Below are 19,371 nucleotides of genomic sequence, written 5' to 3'. Positions count from 1 at the left end.
AGGCGCCTATAATCCTAGCTACTCGGGAGGCTGAGGCAGGAGAATCACTTGAACCCAGTGGGGCAGAGGTTGCAGTGAGCCAAGATTGTGCCATTGCACTCCAGCCTGGACGAAACAGTGAAACTCCATCTCAAAAAAAAAAAAAAAATTCTAGGGTGGCACGCAGAACTCAGGGAAACACTAACTTACACTTACTAGTTTATCATAAAGGATATTACAAAGGATGTAGGTGAAGAGATGAGATGCGTAGGGCAAGGCAAGTGAGAAGGGGAACAAAATTTCCATGCCCTCCCTGGGAGCCCCATCCTCCAGAAACCTCCACGTGTCAGCTATCCAGAAGCTCTCTGAACCCACTCCTTTGGGTTTCAATGGAAGCCTCATTATGTAGGCATGATTGATTAAATCATTGGCCATTGGTGATCAGCTTAACCTTCAGTCCCTTCCCCATCTCTGGAGGTTGTGGAGTGGGCCTGAAAATATCAACCCTGTAACCATGACTTGTTTTTTTCTGATTACCAGCCCCACCCTTGCACTTGCGCTTACACTCCTCAAAGCTACATAGGGGCTGCTTGTCATTAGTCAATCATTAGCATACAAAACAGTCTAAAGATTTTGGTTGTATGCCAGGAAACAGGGTCAAAGACCAAATATATGTTTCACAATATCACAATGACCCATGAGAGAAGAGTAACACATGAAATTTAGCCTCTCATACTCTTGCCAACTTTGTACTTGGGGCCTATTTCCCAACTTTTATGAGGAAAGTAGAGTCCAAGAAGGGTCTCTCTGGGAAGGCAAAGAATAGAATGCACGACTGCTGACCCAATTGGAACTTGTGGAGTAGGGTACTGAAGAGGACAGAGCTGCACACAGGGGCTCCCAAGTCTTTGGTCAAAGCCTGTACTGCATATATGTAACGTGAAACTCCATGAGGCTTAACAGAAAGTAGCATCTACAGAGTAGGGAATGAATTGTCACTGGAAATACGGGCCTTGAACCAGACCCCAGAGAGAGTTCTTGAAACTCGTGCAGAAGGGAATTCAAGATGAGTCACGAAGTGCAGTGGAAAAAGCAAGTTTATTAAAAGCTACTCCATTACAGAGAAGGGTTTCCTCAGAAAACAAGTGGAGGGGCCTGGTGCGGTGGCTCATGCCTGTAATCCCAGCACTTTGGGAGGTCGAGGTGGGTGGATCACCTAAAGTCAGGAGTCTAAGACCAGCCTCGCCAGCATGGTGAAACCCTGTCTCTACTAAAAATACAAAAATTAGTTGGGCATGGTGGCAGGCGCCAGTGAGCTCAGCTACTCAGGAGGTGGAGGAAGGAGAATCACTTGAACCTGGGAGGCAGAGGTTGCAGTAAGCCGAGATGGTGCCACTGCACTCTAGCCTGGGCGACAGAGTGAGACCTCATCTCAAAAAAAAAAAAAAAAAAAAAAAGGAAAGTGGAGGAATGCATTGTCTTAGTTTTAAGTTTTTCATATATAGGGGTCTTGTCTATGTAAAAACTAAACTAAGCTGCGTCTATGTGCAGGTGAGCAGACAGTATGACAAATTTATTACTCTATTGACTTAAAGAGAACTAGCTTTGACAGTCTGGTGTGTGAGTACATCAAAGCATAACTGTTATTATCTCACAAACATATATCGTTATGGGTATTGGGACACCTGGACTTTGTTATTGTAGGAGTGTGTTCTTGCAGGTATCATTAGGCTGTTTCCTTTACTATAAGCATCCCATGAATCTGGGTCCTGACCAGCAAGGAATGTGCTTTGTTAGTCTCAAAATGGAGCTGAACTTTAAAGGGAAGGAACCAGAGTTCACACATTACTGTGAGTTAAATGTTACAACCATTTTAAAAAATTGTTTAAGCTGGGTGCTGTGGCTCACATCTGTAATCCCAGCACTTTGGGAGGCCGAGGTGGGTGGATCACTTGTAGTCAGGAGTTGGAGACCAGACTGGCCAATATGGTGAAACCTCATCTCTACTAAAAAAACAAAAATTAGCCAGGCTTGGTGACAGGTGCCTGTAATCCCAGCTACTTGGGAGGCTGAGGCAGGAGAATTGCTTGAACCAGGGAGGCCGAGATCACACCACTGCGCTCCAGCCTGACAGAGTGAGACTCCGTCTCAAAAAAAAAAAAAAACCTGTTTGACAGTTATTAATGTTAAATGTACACTTATCCTATGACCTTGAACTGCCCATAAAAATGTGGCCTGCAAAGAAAATATCACCTTGTATTCATTTTCATTTCTGTGCCTCGTTATCCTTTTCTCTTTACTCCAGCTGCCCTCACAACTCCCAGTAAAGTGTTAGCACTTTGTAGGTTTTGCCACCTATTCTCTATAGCCCCAGGCAAATATAATTGATACAAGGAGAGGAGGGGGCCTCAAAAGCCAATCCTCAAGATGACGTTTTGGGGTTAGATCAGCCATGTTCTGGAAGTCACAGGGACTCACTTCGTTTCTGTTGTCAAGTGAAATGGCAAATTACTGGCCTGTAATGAATCACGATTATTAAAAACTTCACCTGTGGTTAAGAAGAATGAGGTGTGGGTAGAAGGAAGGGCATTAGAAAGTCAAGTGGCTGTTGCAATTGATTTGTATAGGGGCATTTATAATTACAAAGTTGCAATAACTGCAAAAAAAAAGTAAACTGATGGGTCCCTGAGGCCAGGAATAAAGATTTTGGGGGATTCTGAACTTCTAAATTCCTTGAGCTGTCACGGCCAGCAGAATCAGTCCTGTCCACTTGCCAGAAGAAAACAGCCCAACATAAAGACCATGTAATAACCTCACTCAAAGCAGATGACCTGCAATATGACTTTTGGTGTCCTCAGGATCCTTGACTCTCATTCCACATCGCCTCCAGGGCTGATACTCTGAATCAAATTTTAATACAACCTGAGTAGGGAAGCACAGCCCAATAATTTGCTGTGATGATTTCTTGAAGCCTGGCGTTGGTGAAGGGTTACACTAAATGAAGTGGAGATGCCTTTTTTTTTTTTTTTTTGAGACAGAATCTTGCTCTGTCACCCACGCTGGAGTGCAGTGGCGCAACCTCGGCTCGCTGCAACCTCCACCTCTCAGGTTCAAGTGATTCTGTTGCCTAAGCCTCCCAAGTAGTTGAGATTACAGGTGCACGCCACCACACCTGGCTAATTTTTTTTCTTTTTTTTTGTATTTTTAGTAGAGATGGGTTTCATTATGCTGGACAGGCTGGTCTCAAACTCCTGACCTGAGGTGATCCACCTGCCTTGGCCTCCCAAAGTGCTGGGATTACAGGCGTGAGCCACTGCACTTGGCCAAGATGTCAAAATTTTCATGCCACATAACTGGAATTTCTCAGAGGGCTCTGGGAAGTGGAAATGTTTGAATGGATTTACTATGCCACAGCTGAGAAATATCACCTAACGCCTAAAGGATACTGTCTCATTAAGGCACTAATGAATGCACAGGTGACGAAGGCACTGAAATCATTGAGAAGCTCAGTGGTAGCTGCTTCATCAGTGGAAGATGCTGCTACAGAACTAGGCTATCTAAAAAGTATGAGGAAAGTGGGCCTCTGGAATGGAACAGGCCGTTGGAATAGTACCATGGGAATGGTACAAGTGCAGAGTTAGCGTGCAGAAATACAGGAGTGTCAATCATAGAACCTTGGCTATCAGAGAGCAATGGTGATGCCCAATAGATCATGGATTTCCCAGGGATGACAGACAGGTGGAGAGAGAGAGAAAGAGATATCAATCTGCTCTGAATGCCACTTTGGAAAATCACAGCCCTTTCAGTTTTCATATGTAAGTCTGTTCACAGCCCTAGGTCCTATTGATTGAAAGGGAAACTAGATACATGCAAGTATATCGAATAATTTTTCTTCAAATTTTCCCACAGAAACCTGTAACCATTTGACAAGGCAACATTTCCTAGGTGATATTAAAAGACTCTTAGGTGTGAGGACTGAACTGACTGCTATCAGGGAACCTGAAATGTCATCTGAGCCACCTGGTGAGGAAGGGCATTTATAGAGGACAGGTGTTAAATGGAGTTTTGATCCCAGTCTGTTGCTCAGTGGGTTCACTGTGTCTATTGACTACTTTATAGTTAATTTCCTTAGCCAAGATATGTATAATCTAGATGGACATACTTAGATATTGGCAGAACCTTTAAATTGCTTCTTTGACCTTTGAAATAAAAGCCAACTTAAAGTGCCAGTTGCAGCTTCTGAAACTGTACGTCTTGACCCTAAAGATAACAAATAAATAATATATTTCGAAGGAATTGAAGAGAAGTGACCCCCTTGTCAAATATTTAAGAGATGTAGGGAAGTTAGCAGCACTTTTTTGATCAATTCATCTGTTCAATCTCTGTAAAAAAGAGTTGGATCATAGTAGATAGCAGTAAGCTACTATAACTTTAACCAAATTATAACTCTGATCATTGCTACTATATCAGATGCCAAGAACTATGAAGGGTCTGAGATTTTATTCCACTTGCAAGCAAATAAGTTAGCTTGCCACAATTTCATGGACGTTAGCAGAAAACATGAGATTCTTGGGTTAGAAACAAATGACAGTTCATTACTCACAGAAATAGCAATGGCCAGAGCATCAACATTGGCAGCATTTTCCCAAATGTCAATTCACATAGCCCAAAGTTGGTATAAGGGACAAATGATTTCTGCACACTAAATAGGATTTGTTACAGGATAGGGATCTCAAGCTTAGGGATCATTAATCTTTTATAATGGGCATTAAGTGTGCTTGACCTTTGCCTTGATGGGAAATATTATCTTTGTTATTCTGGCCTGTAAAGAAACCTACTATTTGTTTTGAAAGGGGATGTTATCTCTATCTTCGTGTTAGGTCATTCTCACATTGCTATAAAAAAAAAAAAATACCTGGCTGGGTGCGGTGGCTTACGCCTGTAATCCCAGCACTTTGGGAGGCTGAGGCGGGGGGATCACATGAGTTCAGGAGTTCAAGACCAGTCTGGTCAACATGGTGAAACACCATCTCTACCAAAAATACAAAAAAAAATAGCCAGGCATGGTGGTGCGCACCTGTAGTCCCAGCTACTGGGATGGCTGAGGCAGGAGAATCACTTAAACCTGGGAAGCAGAGGTTGCAGTGAGTGGAGATCGTGCCACTGCGCTCCAGCCTGGGTGACAGAGTGAGACCCTGCCACAAAGAAAGAAAAAAAAGAAAGAAAGGAAAAAAGAAAGAAAAAAAAAATTCTCAAGACTGGATAATTTTATGAAGAAAAGAGGTTTAATTGGCTCATGGTTCTGCAGGATGAACAGGAAGCATGGTGGCATCAGCTTGTGGAGAGGCCTCAGGGAACTTATAATCATGGCGGAAGGCAAAAGGAAGCGAGGCATTTCATACAGCTAGAGCAGGAGGAAGAGAGAGCAAGAGGAGGTGCTACATGCTTTCGTATTACCAGATCTCACAATAACTGACTCACGCGCTATTACCAAAACAGCATCGAGGGGTTGGTACTAATCCATTCATGAGAACTCTGCCCCTGTGATCCAATTACCTCCCACCAGACCCCACCTCCAACAATGGGGATTACAATTAGACATGAGATTTGGTGGGGAGACAGATCCAAACCATATCAGTCTTCCAAGGCTGTTTGCAATACAAACAGAAACTTGAAAATATTAAATTGAAAACATAGTCTAAAACAAAGAGGCCAGGCGAGGTGGCTCACGCCTGTAATCCCAGCACTTTGGGAGGCTGAGGCGGGCAGATCACGAGGTCAGGAGATCGAGACCGTCCTGGCTAACACGGTGAAACCTCATCTCTACTGAAAAAAAAAAAGAAAAACCAAAAACTTAGCCAGGCGTGGTGGTAGGCGCCTGTAGTCCCAGCTACCTGGGAGGCTGAGGCAGGAGAATGGCGTGAATCAGGGAGGCGGAGCTTGCAGTGAGCCGAGATGGCACCACTGCACTCCAGCCTGGGCGAGAGCGAGACTCCGTTTTAAAAAAAAACAAACAAAACAAGAAAGCCAGTCCCTGTGCCCACAAGAGAGATGCAGAAACACTGGACACCCATTCAGAATTGACTTTCATTAGCAAATGTGTTATTGTTACTGAAGCACATTAACCCACCTACTGGCATTTGGTATGCTATTATTAAAATAGTGATCCCTTTAGGATAGAGGATCAAATATAGTGTGCTTTTACATGACTATGTTAATGGTCCTAGTCTCTTTTGTAATACAGTCCTCAATTATCTTGACCATTTATCGTTTTTACATTCTGTTGAATATCATACTGGTCCACTCTACAGATAAGATCATTCTGATTTGTCTCATAACTAAGAGGTAGCAAGTATCCTCAATATCCTAGTAAGATACATATAGAGCAGAAAGTGGAAATAAACCCCATAAAGCTTCAGGGATAATGGCCTTGGGCATATTGAGTCATTCCATCTAAAGCAATGGTTCTCAGCCAAGGATGATTTTGTCCTAAAGAGAAATTTGGAAATGTCTGGAGACATTTTTGGCTGTCAGAAATCACAGAAGGGGGATGACATCAAATGGATAGAGGCCAGGGGAACAACAAAACATCAGACAATGCACAAGACAACCCCCTCGCAATAAAGAATTACCCAACCCCAAATCTCAATAATTGCAAGATTGAGAAACTTTGCCTTAAAATAATAAATGTGATGCTCCATCTTGAAACCTCTAAACAACAAAAAGAGATATAGTGCATGTGAACCCCTTTGAATTTTTGAGGTAATACAGCAACTGGTAATACTACTTTGACTAACTGAGTGACTTAAAGGCTGCTTGTTTTGAATGTGGCTCCCGTACAAGAGAAGGTTCTGTAGTAGATCCAAAGTGCAGTGAAAGCCACCCTGCCACTTAGGACGTATTCATGTGGCTTAGCTCTTCCTTTATTCCTAGCCCTACCAGGTGCCTGGATTCCAAGCCACTGAAGTTCTAGCGATAGCTCTCGCCATTCTCATTGTGATAAAGGCCCAACTATTTCTGCGTTTTCCACTAACAGAAAGGAAAAAGTCCCTACATCGTGGTGGCTGATGCCTGTAATCCCAGCACTTTGGGAGGCCAAGGTGGGCAGATCACGAGGTCAGGAGTTTGAGACCAGCCTGGCCACCTTAGTGAAACCCCGCCCTTACTAAAAATACAAAAGTTAGCCGGACATGGTGGAGTGTGCCTAAAGTCCCAGCTACTTGGGAGACTGAGGCAGGAGAATTGCTTTAACCCGGGAGGCAGAGGTTGTGGTGAGCTGAGATTGTGCCACTACACTCCAGCCTGGGCAACGGAGCGAGACTCTGACTCAAAAAAAAAAAAAAAAGAGAAGAAAACGAAAAGAAAAGAAAAGAAAAAAGAAAAAGCACCTACATAAGGTGCTGACTGACAAAGAAGAGAGACCACTGCAATGGTGTATTGGTAGAACAAACTTGAGGAGATTCCAGATTCCCTGCTGGATGCCTAGAGCAGGGAGGAGAATAACACAGGCTGAAAGTGCAGGAAAGTTAACACTCCATGAGGTAGACTAGTCAGTTACAAAACATGAGATGGAAGCCAGAGAGAATCCTCTGAACGTCCTACCCATCATGAACTGATCTCTTATAGCCAGTCCAAATTTATCCTGCAGGACTCGGCAATCGACTGTTTATACATGAGACTGCAGCCAACACAGAAACACATGATGTTGTATTTGCTTTTCCTTTGTCCATGCTCCACTTTTCGTTTTCCTCTTATGCTTCTTTGTGCCTTTCAATAAAGCAATAGCATATAATTTTGCCTTAGGTTTTTTTTTTCTAAAGGTCTCAAGCTAAGATGCCTTGTACTAGAATAGGAAGGTCACAGGGAAATTCAGTTGGTGAGGAGATGTATAGACGGATTGAGTCTGGGTCATGGAGAATCTTTAATGTCAAGCTAAGGATTCAAGGTACATTCAGTTTCCAAGGATCTATGATTCTATATTCACACAGAGTGCTAGGAACAGAGCTCTGCATACATAAAGTAACTCAGAGCCTGTCTAGGCATTCATTAATAAACTGGGGAGTGAATATTGCTGTTTCTTTCTCTTCACATATTGCCTATGAACCTTTCTTTTGTTTAATTACATGGGCTGTACTCTCATTCCTGTAAGTAACCCACCTTTCATGCGCTGCCAGAGGTGAACCAAGGTTTTGGAAGGGGTTAGTTAATGAGAAAATCTGTAGCAAGCCCAAACATTAAAATTTCCCCTCCTGGCTGGGTGCAGTGGATCACGCCTATAATCCCAGCACTTTGGGAGGCTGAGGCAGGCGGATCACTTGAGGTCAGGAGTTCAAGACCCGCCTGGCCAACACGGTGAAACTCTGTCTCTACTAAAATACAAAAATTAGCTGGTATGGTGGTGTGCGTCTGAAACCCCAGCTATTCAGGAGGCTGAGGCAGGAGAATTGCTTGAGCCCGGGAGGCGGAGTTTGTAGTGAGTCAAGATCTTGCCATTGCACTCCAGCCTGGGTGACAAGAGACTCCGTCTCAAACAAAACAAAACAAAACAAAATTTCCCCTAGTTACCATTCCTCTCCTTAATATAGTAAACTACTTAGTGTTAGAGCAGCTTAAGAACTCCAAGGCAGGTCTTCTGAACCATTATAAATGTCTCTGTGCTGTATTAGGCAATTTTTGAAAGTAAAATGAAATCTGGTTGCTATTGTATGTCATTTTGGGAAGGAGGGATTAAAATGATAAATATAAACTATAAAATAGATGATGGATTATTTGAAAATTATAAAATGTGGTAGGGTTCAATCCTCATTATACCTAATTATAAATGATGAAATCAGTGAGCCAGTTAAATATATCTCTGAAGTTAACTTGTGCTTTTTATGTCTTTGAAGCAATGTAGTCTTCCTTTATCTTAAATGGTGAGGGAAAAGAAAAACCAATGTATACATTCAATACTATTTCCATTAAACTACCATTGACATTCTTCACAGCACTAGAGAAAACTATTTTAAAATTCACATGGAAGCAGAAAAGAGCCCGAATAGCCACAGCAATCCTAAGCAAAAAGAACAAAGCTGGAGGCATCACACTCAGCGACTTCAAACTGTACCACAGGGCAACAGTAATCAAAACAGCATGGTAGTGGTACAAGAACAGACACATAGACCAATGGAACAGAATAGAGAACATAGAAATTAGACTGCACACCTACAACTATCTGATCTTTGACAAACCTGACCCCCCAAAAAAAAGCAACGGGGAAAAAAGTCTTATTTAATAAATGGTGCTGGAATAACTGACTAGCCGTATGCAGAAAATTGAAACTGGGCCCTTCCTTACTGCGTACACAAAAATTAACTCAAGATGGATTAAAGATATAAATGGAAAACTCAAAACTATAAAAACCCTGAAAGACAACCTAGGCAATACCATTCAGGACATAGGCATGGGCAAAGGTTTGATGACAAAGACACCAAAAGCAACTGCAACAAAAGAAAAAATTGACAAATGGGATCTAATTAAACTAAGAAGCTTCTGCACAGCACAACAAAAGAAACTATCAACAGAGTAAATAACCTACATAATGGGAGAAAAATTTTTGCAAACTATGCATTTGACAAAGGTCTAATATCCAGCATCTATAAGGAATTTAAACAAATTTACAAGAAAACAACCCCATTAAAAAAATGAGCAAAGGACCTGAATAGACACTTCTCAAAGAAGACATGCATGTGGCCAAGAATTATATGCAAAGAAGCTCAACATCACTGATCATTAGAGAAATGAAAATCAAAACTACAATGAGATACCATCTCATGCCAGTCAGAATGGCTATTATTAAAATGTCAAAAAATAATAGATGCTGGTGATGTTCTGGAGAAAAAGGAACACTTATACACTGTTGGTGGGAGTGTACATTAGTTCAACCATTGTGGAAGACAGTGTGGCGATTCCTCACAGACCTAAAGACAAAATACCATTTGACCCAGCAATCCCATTACTAGGTATATACCCAAAAACATATAAATCATTCTGTTATATAGACACATGCATGCATATGTTTATTGCAGCAGTATTCACAGTAGCAAAGACATGGAATCAACCTAAATGCCCATCAATAATAGACTGGATAAAATGTACATATATACCATGGTATACTCTGCAGCCATGAAAAAGAACAAGATCATGTCCTTCGCAGGGACATGGATGGAGCTGGAGATCATTATCCTTAGCAAACTAAAGCTGACATAGGAAAACCAAATATGGTATGTTCTCACTTGTAAGAGGGAGCTAAATAATGAGAACACATGGACACATAGAGGGGAACAACACACACTGGGGCCTGTTGGAGGGTGGAGGGTGGGAGGAGGGAAAGGATCAGGAAAAATAACTAATGGATATATGCTTACTACCTAGGTTATGAAATAATGTGTATAACAAACCCCATGACACACTTTTACCTATGTAACAAACCTGCACATCCTGCACATGTACCACTGAACTTAAAAGTTTAAAAAGAAAAAATGACAATCAATATAAAAATAGCTAGTGTTTGGTGAGTTTCTGTACAATAGAATTTGAGGTTAAAGAGGATACGAGAGCATTATATTCACATTGTATAAATTTGCTTTCTGCAGAAGCAGAAGGATCCAAGTCAAAGGAGTTTATTTGGGAGGAAATAGCACGAGAGAATGGTGAGTAGGAGAAATGTACCTGGGAAAGGAAAAATGCCAATAGAATATGTTAACTAGCTAGTTACCAACGTGGGCAACTGGAACATAACCTCTCTAGCGAACTGGGATGATGGTGAGCAACATATTTCAGAGTTGCCCCAGTGAAGATCAAGGAAACCAGCATATTTATTTCTCAAATTCCCATCTTTCACTAGATGAAGTTTGCTTCAGGTTTCCTTTAAAAGCCACCAGCCAGGCAGGGCGCAGTGCCTCACGCCTGTAATCCCAACACTTTGGGAGGCCGAGGCAGGTGGATCACTTGAGGTCAGGAGTTCTTGACCAGCCTGGGCAACATGGTGAAACCCCGTCTCTACTAAAAGTACAAAAATGAGCCGGGTATGGTGGCGCATGCCTGTAATCCCAGCTATGGTAGGAGAATCTCTTGAGCCCAGGAGGCGGAGGTTGCAGTGAGCCGAGATTGCGCCACTGCACTCCAGCTGGCACAACAGAGCAAGACTCCATCTCAGAAAAGAAAAAAAAAAAGCCACCAGGCAATTCTTTCTTCTGCAATATATCCTTCCCCATTGAAGAGTCTGGGACCAAGCTGGACCTAACTAAGTGTGTGCCTCATCCTGTTCTCTGACCACATCTGCGTGGCCAGATTCTAATCTTAAATGGCATGAGCATTGGTCAAAACCACATGTGATACTCCGCAGACAACTGTTCATTGTACTGTCAATCTGAAATACAAGGAAAAACATTGGGAGAGAAACAAGATAAAAACATCAGAACTCATCCAATGTCATAATATTTGTGAGTAGTGCATCATAGATTAGATCTAGGCATTCTGAGTCCTAGTGATAGGCTCTTTTCAATAAGGAACACAACTTCTTGAATGATTTTAAACCTCGTAACATGATAGTCACATGGTTAGAGATAAATAGGCATTTGTGAATTAACAGTGAGTTTTTTTTTTTTTTTTAAGGAAATGTGTTTCCAGACACTACTGCCCAAATTTTTATCTTGAATTCTTCCTTTTCAGAGCAAATGTGTGTTCAAAGGACATGTGGGATGTCTGTTAGAGATATCTCATGCTAAAGCTATGATTGGAGCTGAACCTCAGAAGACAATAAAATTGATAGTTTTATAGGGGTGAGGGGAATTTTCCTTCCACCCTCTGAAAGTTTGACAATTTGAGTCTCTGGAATAAATTGACAGCAGATATATTAACAAGAGAAAAGATACCACAAGTTTATTATGTGGATATGCACGTGGGTCCTACAAAGTATGAGACTCCCAGAAGAGTTGGGTGGTTGAAGTTTATACAGTATCCTCAGCTACAAAAAGATATAGGGGACTGGGACATCTAGAGTCAGGCGGCCACAGGTTATGGGGTGCTGAAGGGAAGAAACACATGAGGAACAAATGCTGTTTTTGTGCAGATGAAGTTTCTCAGGTAGCAGTCCACAGAAGAATAGGTAGTGTCAATCTTTTTTCTCCTTTCCTGTTAGTTAATCTTCGCTATTTGATGATATTATTGTAAGGAGGGGCCTCATGACAATTGCATTCCTTTCACAGGAACTTTCTTTAGTGAGTTAAGGGAACTTTAGAGAGAGCCTCTTCATGCCTGCTTTGGGAGGGAAAGAGGAGCAAGAGACTAGGGGAACAGAGAAGGTCAGAGAGGCCTTGTTTCTCCTTTAGTTCAAAGCACTCAGCGTAACAAAAGTGCCATATTCTGGGGCATAATTTTTCTGAGTCCCAACAGTTTCTACAACCTTTGCCTTCCAGAGAATCCTTTCTTCTCAATCTCCATGTCTTAGCAAAGCAAACAGTAGTGCCAATAAATCTGAGTTTATGTTGTTATAGTAGTTAATGGACTTAACGAACAGCTCAGCTAAACAATCATATACAGGCAGGAGGTATAAATTATACAGGTGTCACAGGTTGAAACCTAGAATTGAGTTTCAGCCTGGGAGGCCACATGGGTCCATGGCTTTGCCCAGGAAGGAATTCAAGAGTGAGCCAACAGAATTAAGTGAAAGCAAATTTGTTAAGAAAATAAAGGAATACAAGTATGGCTACTCCATAGGCTGAGCAGCCCTGAGGGCTGCTGGTTGGCTGTGTTTATGGTTATTTCTTAATCATATGCTAAACAAGGGGTGGATTTTTCATGAGTTTCCTTGGAAAGGGGTGGGAAATTAGAGGAACTGAGGGTTTCTCCTCCTTTAAGACTACACAGGGTAACTTTCAGAGGTTGCCATGGCATTTGTAAACTGTCATGATGCTGGCGGGAGTGTCTTTTAGTGTGCTAATACATTACAATTAGCTTACAATGGGCAGTGAGGATGGCCGGAGGTGACTTTCAGCGCAATCTTGAATTTGGTGGGTTTTGGCCTGCTTTTCGATTGCATCCTATTTTATCAGGTCAGTGTCTGCATGACCTGCATCTTGTGCTGACCTTCTATCTCATCCTGTGACTAAGAATGCCTAACCCCCTGGGATTGCAGCCCAGCAGACCTCAACCTAATTTTACCCAGCCCCTATTCAAGATGATGTCACTCTGTTTCAAATGCCTCTGACACAAGCAGGATAAAAACTCCATAAATATTGACTCCATCTAACAGATTCTGTCAGAGGAAGAAATCTCATTTTGATAATGACATCTTTCTAGAGCACTGCTCTTTGAATAGGGTTTCCATAGATGTATTAATATTACCAAAAATTGGCCGGGCGTGGTGGCTCACGCCTGTAATCCCAGCACTTTGGGAGGCCGAGGCGGGCGGATCACAAGGTCAGGAGATCGAGACCATCCTGGCTAACTCGGTGAAACCCCGTCTCTACTAAAAATACAAAAAAAAATTAGCCGGGCATGGTGGCGGGCGCCTGTGGTCCCAGCTACTCGGGAGGTTGAGGCAGGAGAATGGTGTGAACCCAGGCGGCGGAGCTTGCAGCAAGCCGAGATCACACCACTGCACTCCAGCCTGGGCGACAGAGCGAGACTCCATCTCAAAAAAAAAAAAAAAAAAAAATTACCAAAAATTTAGTTAATAAAACAAATACCAATTGTTCAGTATCTAACTTCATCTATAACTCAATGTTTTGATAACATTGAAGAATCTTCACAGTTCTCAACACTCTTGTGGTGAGAAACTCAGTGAAACTTGTGGAAGACAAGGTAGTGGCACTGTGACTCAATGAAGACTGAGCAAAATGGCATTTTGCAAAGCCAGGGATGTCTGAACTACTGTATTTTTTTCCATTCAAATCTTTAGGGCACCAGCTAGAATGAGACAAATTTTCTTTTCTAGTTTCACTAAAGCTTATGCAAATTCTTGAATCTGTTTCACCACCCGGAAAGACAGCTAAAATCCACCTAAAGAGGAACAGGCTGGGTTAGTCAAGGAAAGAAGGTGACATATTTTGGTTAGGGCAGTAAGTCACTTTCATAAATAAAGAAGAAAAAGTGATAAAATGGAATGCACACAAAAATAGATTTATGGAGGAAAAAGAGTAACCATACCAAGAATATTAGTTTTTTCTCAAACTGCTATAAATAAATACCTGAGAATGAGTAATTTGTTTTAAAAAGAGGTTTACTTATTGTATGGTTTTGCAGATTGTAAAGAAAACATAGAGCTTCTGGGGAGGCCTCAGAAATCTTACAATTATACCTGAAGGCAAACATAAAGCAGGCACATCTTACATGGCCAGAGCAAGAGCAAGAGAGAGAGGGGGCAGTTGCCACACACTTTTAAACAACCAGATGTCATGAGAACAGCCCCAAAGGGGGAATTCTACCTCCATGATCCAATCACCTCCCACCAGGCCCCACCTTCAACACTGGAGATGACAATTTGATGTGACATTTGGGTGAGGGCACAGAACCAAACCATGTCATTCTGCCTCTGGCTCCTCCCACGTTTCACATCCTTCTCACATTGCAATACAGCCATCCCTTCTCAGCAGTCCCCCAAGTCTTAACTCATTCCAGGATTCACTCAAAAGTTAGTCCAAAGTCTCATCTGAGACAAAGCTAGTGCCTTCTGCCTATGAGCCTGTAAAACTAAAAACAAGTTAGTTATTTCCAAGATACAATGGATTTACTGGCATTGGGTAAATACTCCCATTCCAAAAGGGATAAATTGGCCAAAAGAAAGGGGCTACAGGCCAGGCACGGTGGCTCACACCTGTAATCCCAGCACTTTGGGAGGCTGAGGTGGGCGGATCATGAGGTCAGCAGTTTGAGACCAGCCTGGCCAACATGGTGAAACCCCATGTCTACTAAAAATACAAAAATTAGCCAGGCATGGTGGTGGGCGCCTGTAATCCCAGCCACTCGGGAGGCTGAGCTGGGAGAATCGCTTGAACCAGGAGGCAGTGGTTGCAGCGTGCCGAGATTGCACCACCGCACTCCAGCCTGGGTGAAAGAGCGAAAACTCCGTGTCAAAGAAAAAATGTATATATGTGTATATATAAAAAAAAATGTTAAAAAAAGAAAAGAAAGGGGCTACAGGCACCATGCAAGTCTGAAAGCCAATGGGGCAGTCATTAAATCTTAGAGCTCCAAAATAATCTCCTTTGACTCCATGTCTCCTATCCAGGGCACATTGATGCAAGGAGTGGGTTCCCAAGGTCTTGGGCAGCTCCACCCCTGTGACTTTGCAGGGTTCAGCCCCCGTGGCTGCTCTCAAGGGCTGGTGTTGATTTCTTGTGGCTCTTCCAGGTGCAGGGCACAAGTTGTTGGTGTATCTACAATTCTGGTGTTTGGAGGATGGTGGCCTTCTTCTCCCAGCTCCATTAGGCAATGCCCCAGTGGGGACTCTGTGTGGGGGTTCCACCCCCACACTTCCCCTCTGCACTGCTTTAGTAGAGGTTCTCCATGAGGGCTCAGCTACTGCAGCAGGCTTTTGCCTGGACATCCAGGCTTTGCCGTACATCTCTAAAATCTAGGTGGAGGCTCTCAAGCCCCAACTCTTGCACTCTGTGCACCCACAGGTTTAACACCACATGGAAGCTGCCAAGGCTCATGGCTTGCACTCCCTGAAGCAGCAGCCTGAGCTGTATCTGGGGTCCTTTTAGACGTGGCTGGAGCTGAAGCAACTGAGCTGTGAAGAGCAGTGTCCAGAGGCTGCAAAGGGTATTGGGGCCCTTGCCCTGGCCCACAAAACCATCCTTCCGTCCTAGACCTCTGGGCATATGATGGGAGGGACTGCCCCTAAAGGTCTCTGTAATGCCTTGGAGGCCTTTTTCTTACTGTCTTGGCTATTAGCATTTGCCTACCTTTTATTTATGCAAATTCCTGTAACTGCCTTAAAATTCTACCCAGAAAATGGAGTTTTCTTTTCTACTATATGGCTGAGCTGCAAATTTTCCAAACTTTTATGCTCTGCTTCCCTTTTAAATGTAAGTTCAAATTTCAGATCACTTCTTTGCTCCTGCATAGGAGCATATGTTGTTGTTAGAAGCAGCTTGGCTACATCTTGGATGCTTTACTGCTTAGAAATCTCTTCTGCCACCCTAAATCATCACTATCAATTTCAAAGTTCCACAGATCCCTAGAGCAGGGGCATAATGCATTCAATCTCTTTGTTAACAAATAACAAAAGTGACCTTTGCTCCAGTTCCAAATAAGTTCCTCATTTCCATCTGAGACCCCCTTTATCCTGGACTTCACTGTCGATATCATTATCAAGATTTTGGTTATTACCATTCAACAAGTCTCTATGAAGTGCCAAGTTTTCCCTCATCTTCCTATTTTCTTCTGAGCCCTCCACACTCTTCCAACCTCTTGTTACCCAGTTCCAAAGCTGCTTCCACATTTTCAGGTATCTTTATAACAGTGCTCCACTCCTTGGTACCAATTTTCTGTATTAGTCCATTCTCACAATGCTATAAAGAAACATCTGAGACAGGGTAATTTATAAAGAAATGAGGTTTAACTGGCTCACAGTTCTGAAGGCTTTACAGAAAGCATAATGGCTCTGGGGAGGCCTCAGGAAACACAATCATTCCTGAAGGCAAAGGGAAAGCAAGCACATCTTACATGGCCAGAGCAGGAGGAACAGAGAGAATGGTGAGGTGCCACACACTTTTAAACAACCAGATCTCATGAGAAATCACCCACTGTCATGAGAACAGCAGGGGGGAAATCTACCCCATGATCCAAACACCTCCCACCAGAATCCACTTCCAATATTGGGGATTACAATTTGACATAAAATTTGGGCAGGGGCAAAAATCCAAACTGTATCTCCAAGTTAAAGCAGTGACTGTTTTTTTTGGAATTCAATGTATACATTTTTCACAAGGTTATTGTGGGTCTATTATTGTGCTAGGTACGACATTGGGTGTTAAATGTATAAGAATCTTGGCTTACCTTTTTTCCCTAAAAAATAAAAAGATGAATATATATGCTACAACTAGGCAACAGTTGATGATAAGAAAGGATTCATCAAAATATTGCCACAGAGTGTTCAAAGGGAAAGGATCTCAGATGTAATTAGCCTAAACATCTTACATGTTAGAGACAGAAGCCCAGCGCTTGGAATTCTCAGTGTTATATGACAGAAGTAGAAAGTGTTATTTATTTTCTAAAGCAGGTGACCAAGAACACTTAACCTGTTGAATGACAATGTAAATACTTATTTAAGTGCATTATCACAATAAATAAGGTTTTTAAAAAATTAATTTGGTTCGTAAATAGAGATTATTTCAGTTAGGATAATCGATGATAAAATAATTATCCACTTTAACTAACACTATGTGCCAGGTGTAATGCTGAATATTTTATTATCTGTCTTCTCCTTTAATCCACACCACAGGCTAGAAGTTGTGTAGTGCAATGAAAAATGAGGCATTACTATCCTTGTCCTCAGGCCACCCAGAATTTAGAGGGAGACCTACACTTTGACTTAATTACTAACAAATATATTGCAACAGGTAAAATAACACATTATATTATGCTACAAGAATATGAAAGAAGAGGCAATTAATTTTGTCCTAAAAAGAGAATCAAGGAATTATTTTTGGAAAATATGACCTTGGATCTCACATTTTTAAAATAATGAGTTTACCAGGTAGGCTAAATGAAGTATAAAGATCTTCTAGACAAGGGGAATTGTGTGAACAAAGAAATGGTCTCTTGAAAGCATTCTCCTCTCTCTACTGAACAGTGAGGAAAGGTCTAAACCAGCTATCAGGGTAAAAGAAAAGAAAAAGCTGAAATGAGTGTGAGAGAAGAGCAGATGAGACTCAAGAAATTAGTTCCTAATAAGAATAAAGTTAAGAAAGTGGCCAAGGACAGAAGTATTAATATTACTCTATGAGTCAGATACCCCTCAGGGACAAAACTTTTAGGATAATCCACAGTTCAAATCCAAAAGACACACACAAGGAGAAAAGGCACAGAAGTTATAGGAAGGCTCTTCATTTGAAGAGATTCTCATTTAAAGAAAAGGTTTTTTTTTCTTTCTCACAGATGTTGACATTGTTTCCCAAGCGCAATAAGCATCATTACAGTTTATTGCCTGTTCTATGAATGCATTGAGGTGTTCATCTGTTTTTAGTTAATTTGCCTATCAAATAACCACAGTCATGTTTGATTCCTCTCTACCTCACTTGCTCAATGCCAGTTATTTCCTCCATTTAGGAGAAAACCAGCTAAATATGCCAGCCTTGGATTTCTCTTGCTATCTTTTCCTCTAGGCAATGAGATTCTGGATTTGAAATTCCCAGGCCTGCCTAATTTTGGAGACACTCAGCCTCCCGCTTTCCTTAAGAAAGACCTATTTTGTGTGTAAAATAATCAGACTTCCCTCCAGCAGGTGGGGTTTGAAATAATTTTATAAGGAGAGACATGGAAGCACAAACAGAACCACAAGTGTTCTCTTACTCTATTTCTTTATTCATTTGTTTAATTATTAGATATTTCTGGGCAAACAATTATGGGCCAGGAATTGTGGTTACTGGAGATAGTAACCGTATGTTCACAGTCATGAACAAGGTAAATATACACAGTGGCATATTGAAGCTTGTAGTGCAATGGAGAGAAACACTGTACAAAAACATAGAGTAATTGATTTACGGTTGAGATATGAGCTGTTGAGGAAATGTACACAGTGGAGTGAAAGGCTCTGACAGGATGACCTGCTTAATCTGGAGAAATCAGGGGAGATTTTGTTGAAGAAGCCACAACTTTAATTGAGGCTTAAAATGGAGTATGTGTGTATGTGTGTGTATGTGTGTGTGTGAGTGTGTGTAAGTTGGGGAAGGGGAGTATGCCTCCCTGCAGGTGCAAAGTCCTTGTGGCAGAAAGTTGCTTGACATTTTTGAAGAACTGAAAGAAGGGTATTTGTGGTTGAATTGTGAAAAGGGGAAGACAGATACAGATGAGATTGAGAGGTGGGTGAAGGCGGGTAATGTAGGATTTTCTAGATCATGTTATGACTCGCAATATTTATCTATGGGTAATGGAAAACAGTTGAAGGATTTTAAATGGTAGTATTACAGACTGATAATTACATTTCCAAAAGATTAACAGCTTTTGGAGAATGAAGGGGAGAAACAGTGAACATGAGACTTCTTATTGAGGGTATTTCAGCAGTGCAGGTGTTTAAGATGATGCTTTCTTGATCTAGGGAGCAAGTAAGATAGAAGGAGTGAAAGGTTTGAGAAGTATTTAAGAGACTTAATTGATGACTTTGTGATTGATTGGAAAAGAAGA

At 41.8% G+C, this 19,371-nt stretch overlaps 1 protein-coding gene across 4 annotated transcripts in view, besides 3 other annotated features; it reads left to right on the top strand.

The window, feature by feature from the left end:
• The window catches only part of UTS2B (urotensin 2B), a 79,015-nt gene that overhangs the window by 31,021 nt on the left and 28,623 nt on the right, over positions 1–19,371 (top strand). For all 4 annotated transcript variants that reach the window (XM_047447899.1, NM_198152.5, XM_011512631.3 and 1 more), the window contains one exon: positions 10,614–10,670. The gene's annotated coding sequence lies outside the window, so the exon portion shown is untranslated. The remainder of the gene's footprint in view (positions 1–10,613; positions 10,671–19,371) is intronic.
• Positions 12,702–13,227: an enhancer, noted in NCBI's record as "OCT4-NANOG hESC enhancer chr3:191019724-191020249 (GRCh37/hg19 assembly coordinates)". NCBI's record gives its function as "activates a minimal SCP1, AML or CMV promoter by ChIP-STARR-seq in naive and primed H9 embryonic stem cells {active_cell/tissue: H9 hESC(naive and primed)}" and the evidence as "EXISTENCE:reporter gene assay evidence [ECO:0000049][PMID:30033119]".
• Positions 15,504–15,563: an enhancer, noted in NCBI's record as "active region_20990". NCBI's record gives its function as "activates an Ori minimal core promoter by ATAC-STARR-seq in GM12878 lymphoblastoid cells {active_cell/tissue: GM12878}" and the evidence as "EXISTENCE:reporter gene assay evidence [ECO:0000049][PMID:35858748]".
• Positions 15,574–15,753: an enhancer, noted in NCBI's record as "active region_20989". NCBI's record gives its function as "activates an Ori minimal core promoter by ATAC-STARR-seq in GM12878 lymphoblastoid cells {active_cell/tissue: GM12878}" and the evidence as "EXISTENCE:reporter gene assay evidence [ECO:0000049][PMID:35858748]".

This window comes from Homo sapiens, chromosome 3 (genome assembly GCF_000001405.40).
Source record: "Homo sapiens chromosome 3, GRCh38.p14 Primary Assembly".
Taxonomy (NCBI): domain Eukaryota; kingdom Metazoa; phylum Chordata; class Mammalia; order Primates; family Hominidae; genus Homo; species Homo sapiens.
This window is presented reverse-complemented; position numbering and strand designations above follow the sequence as displayed.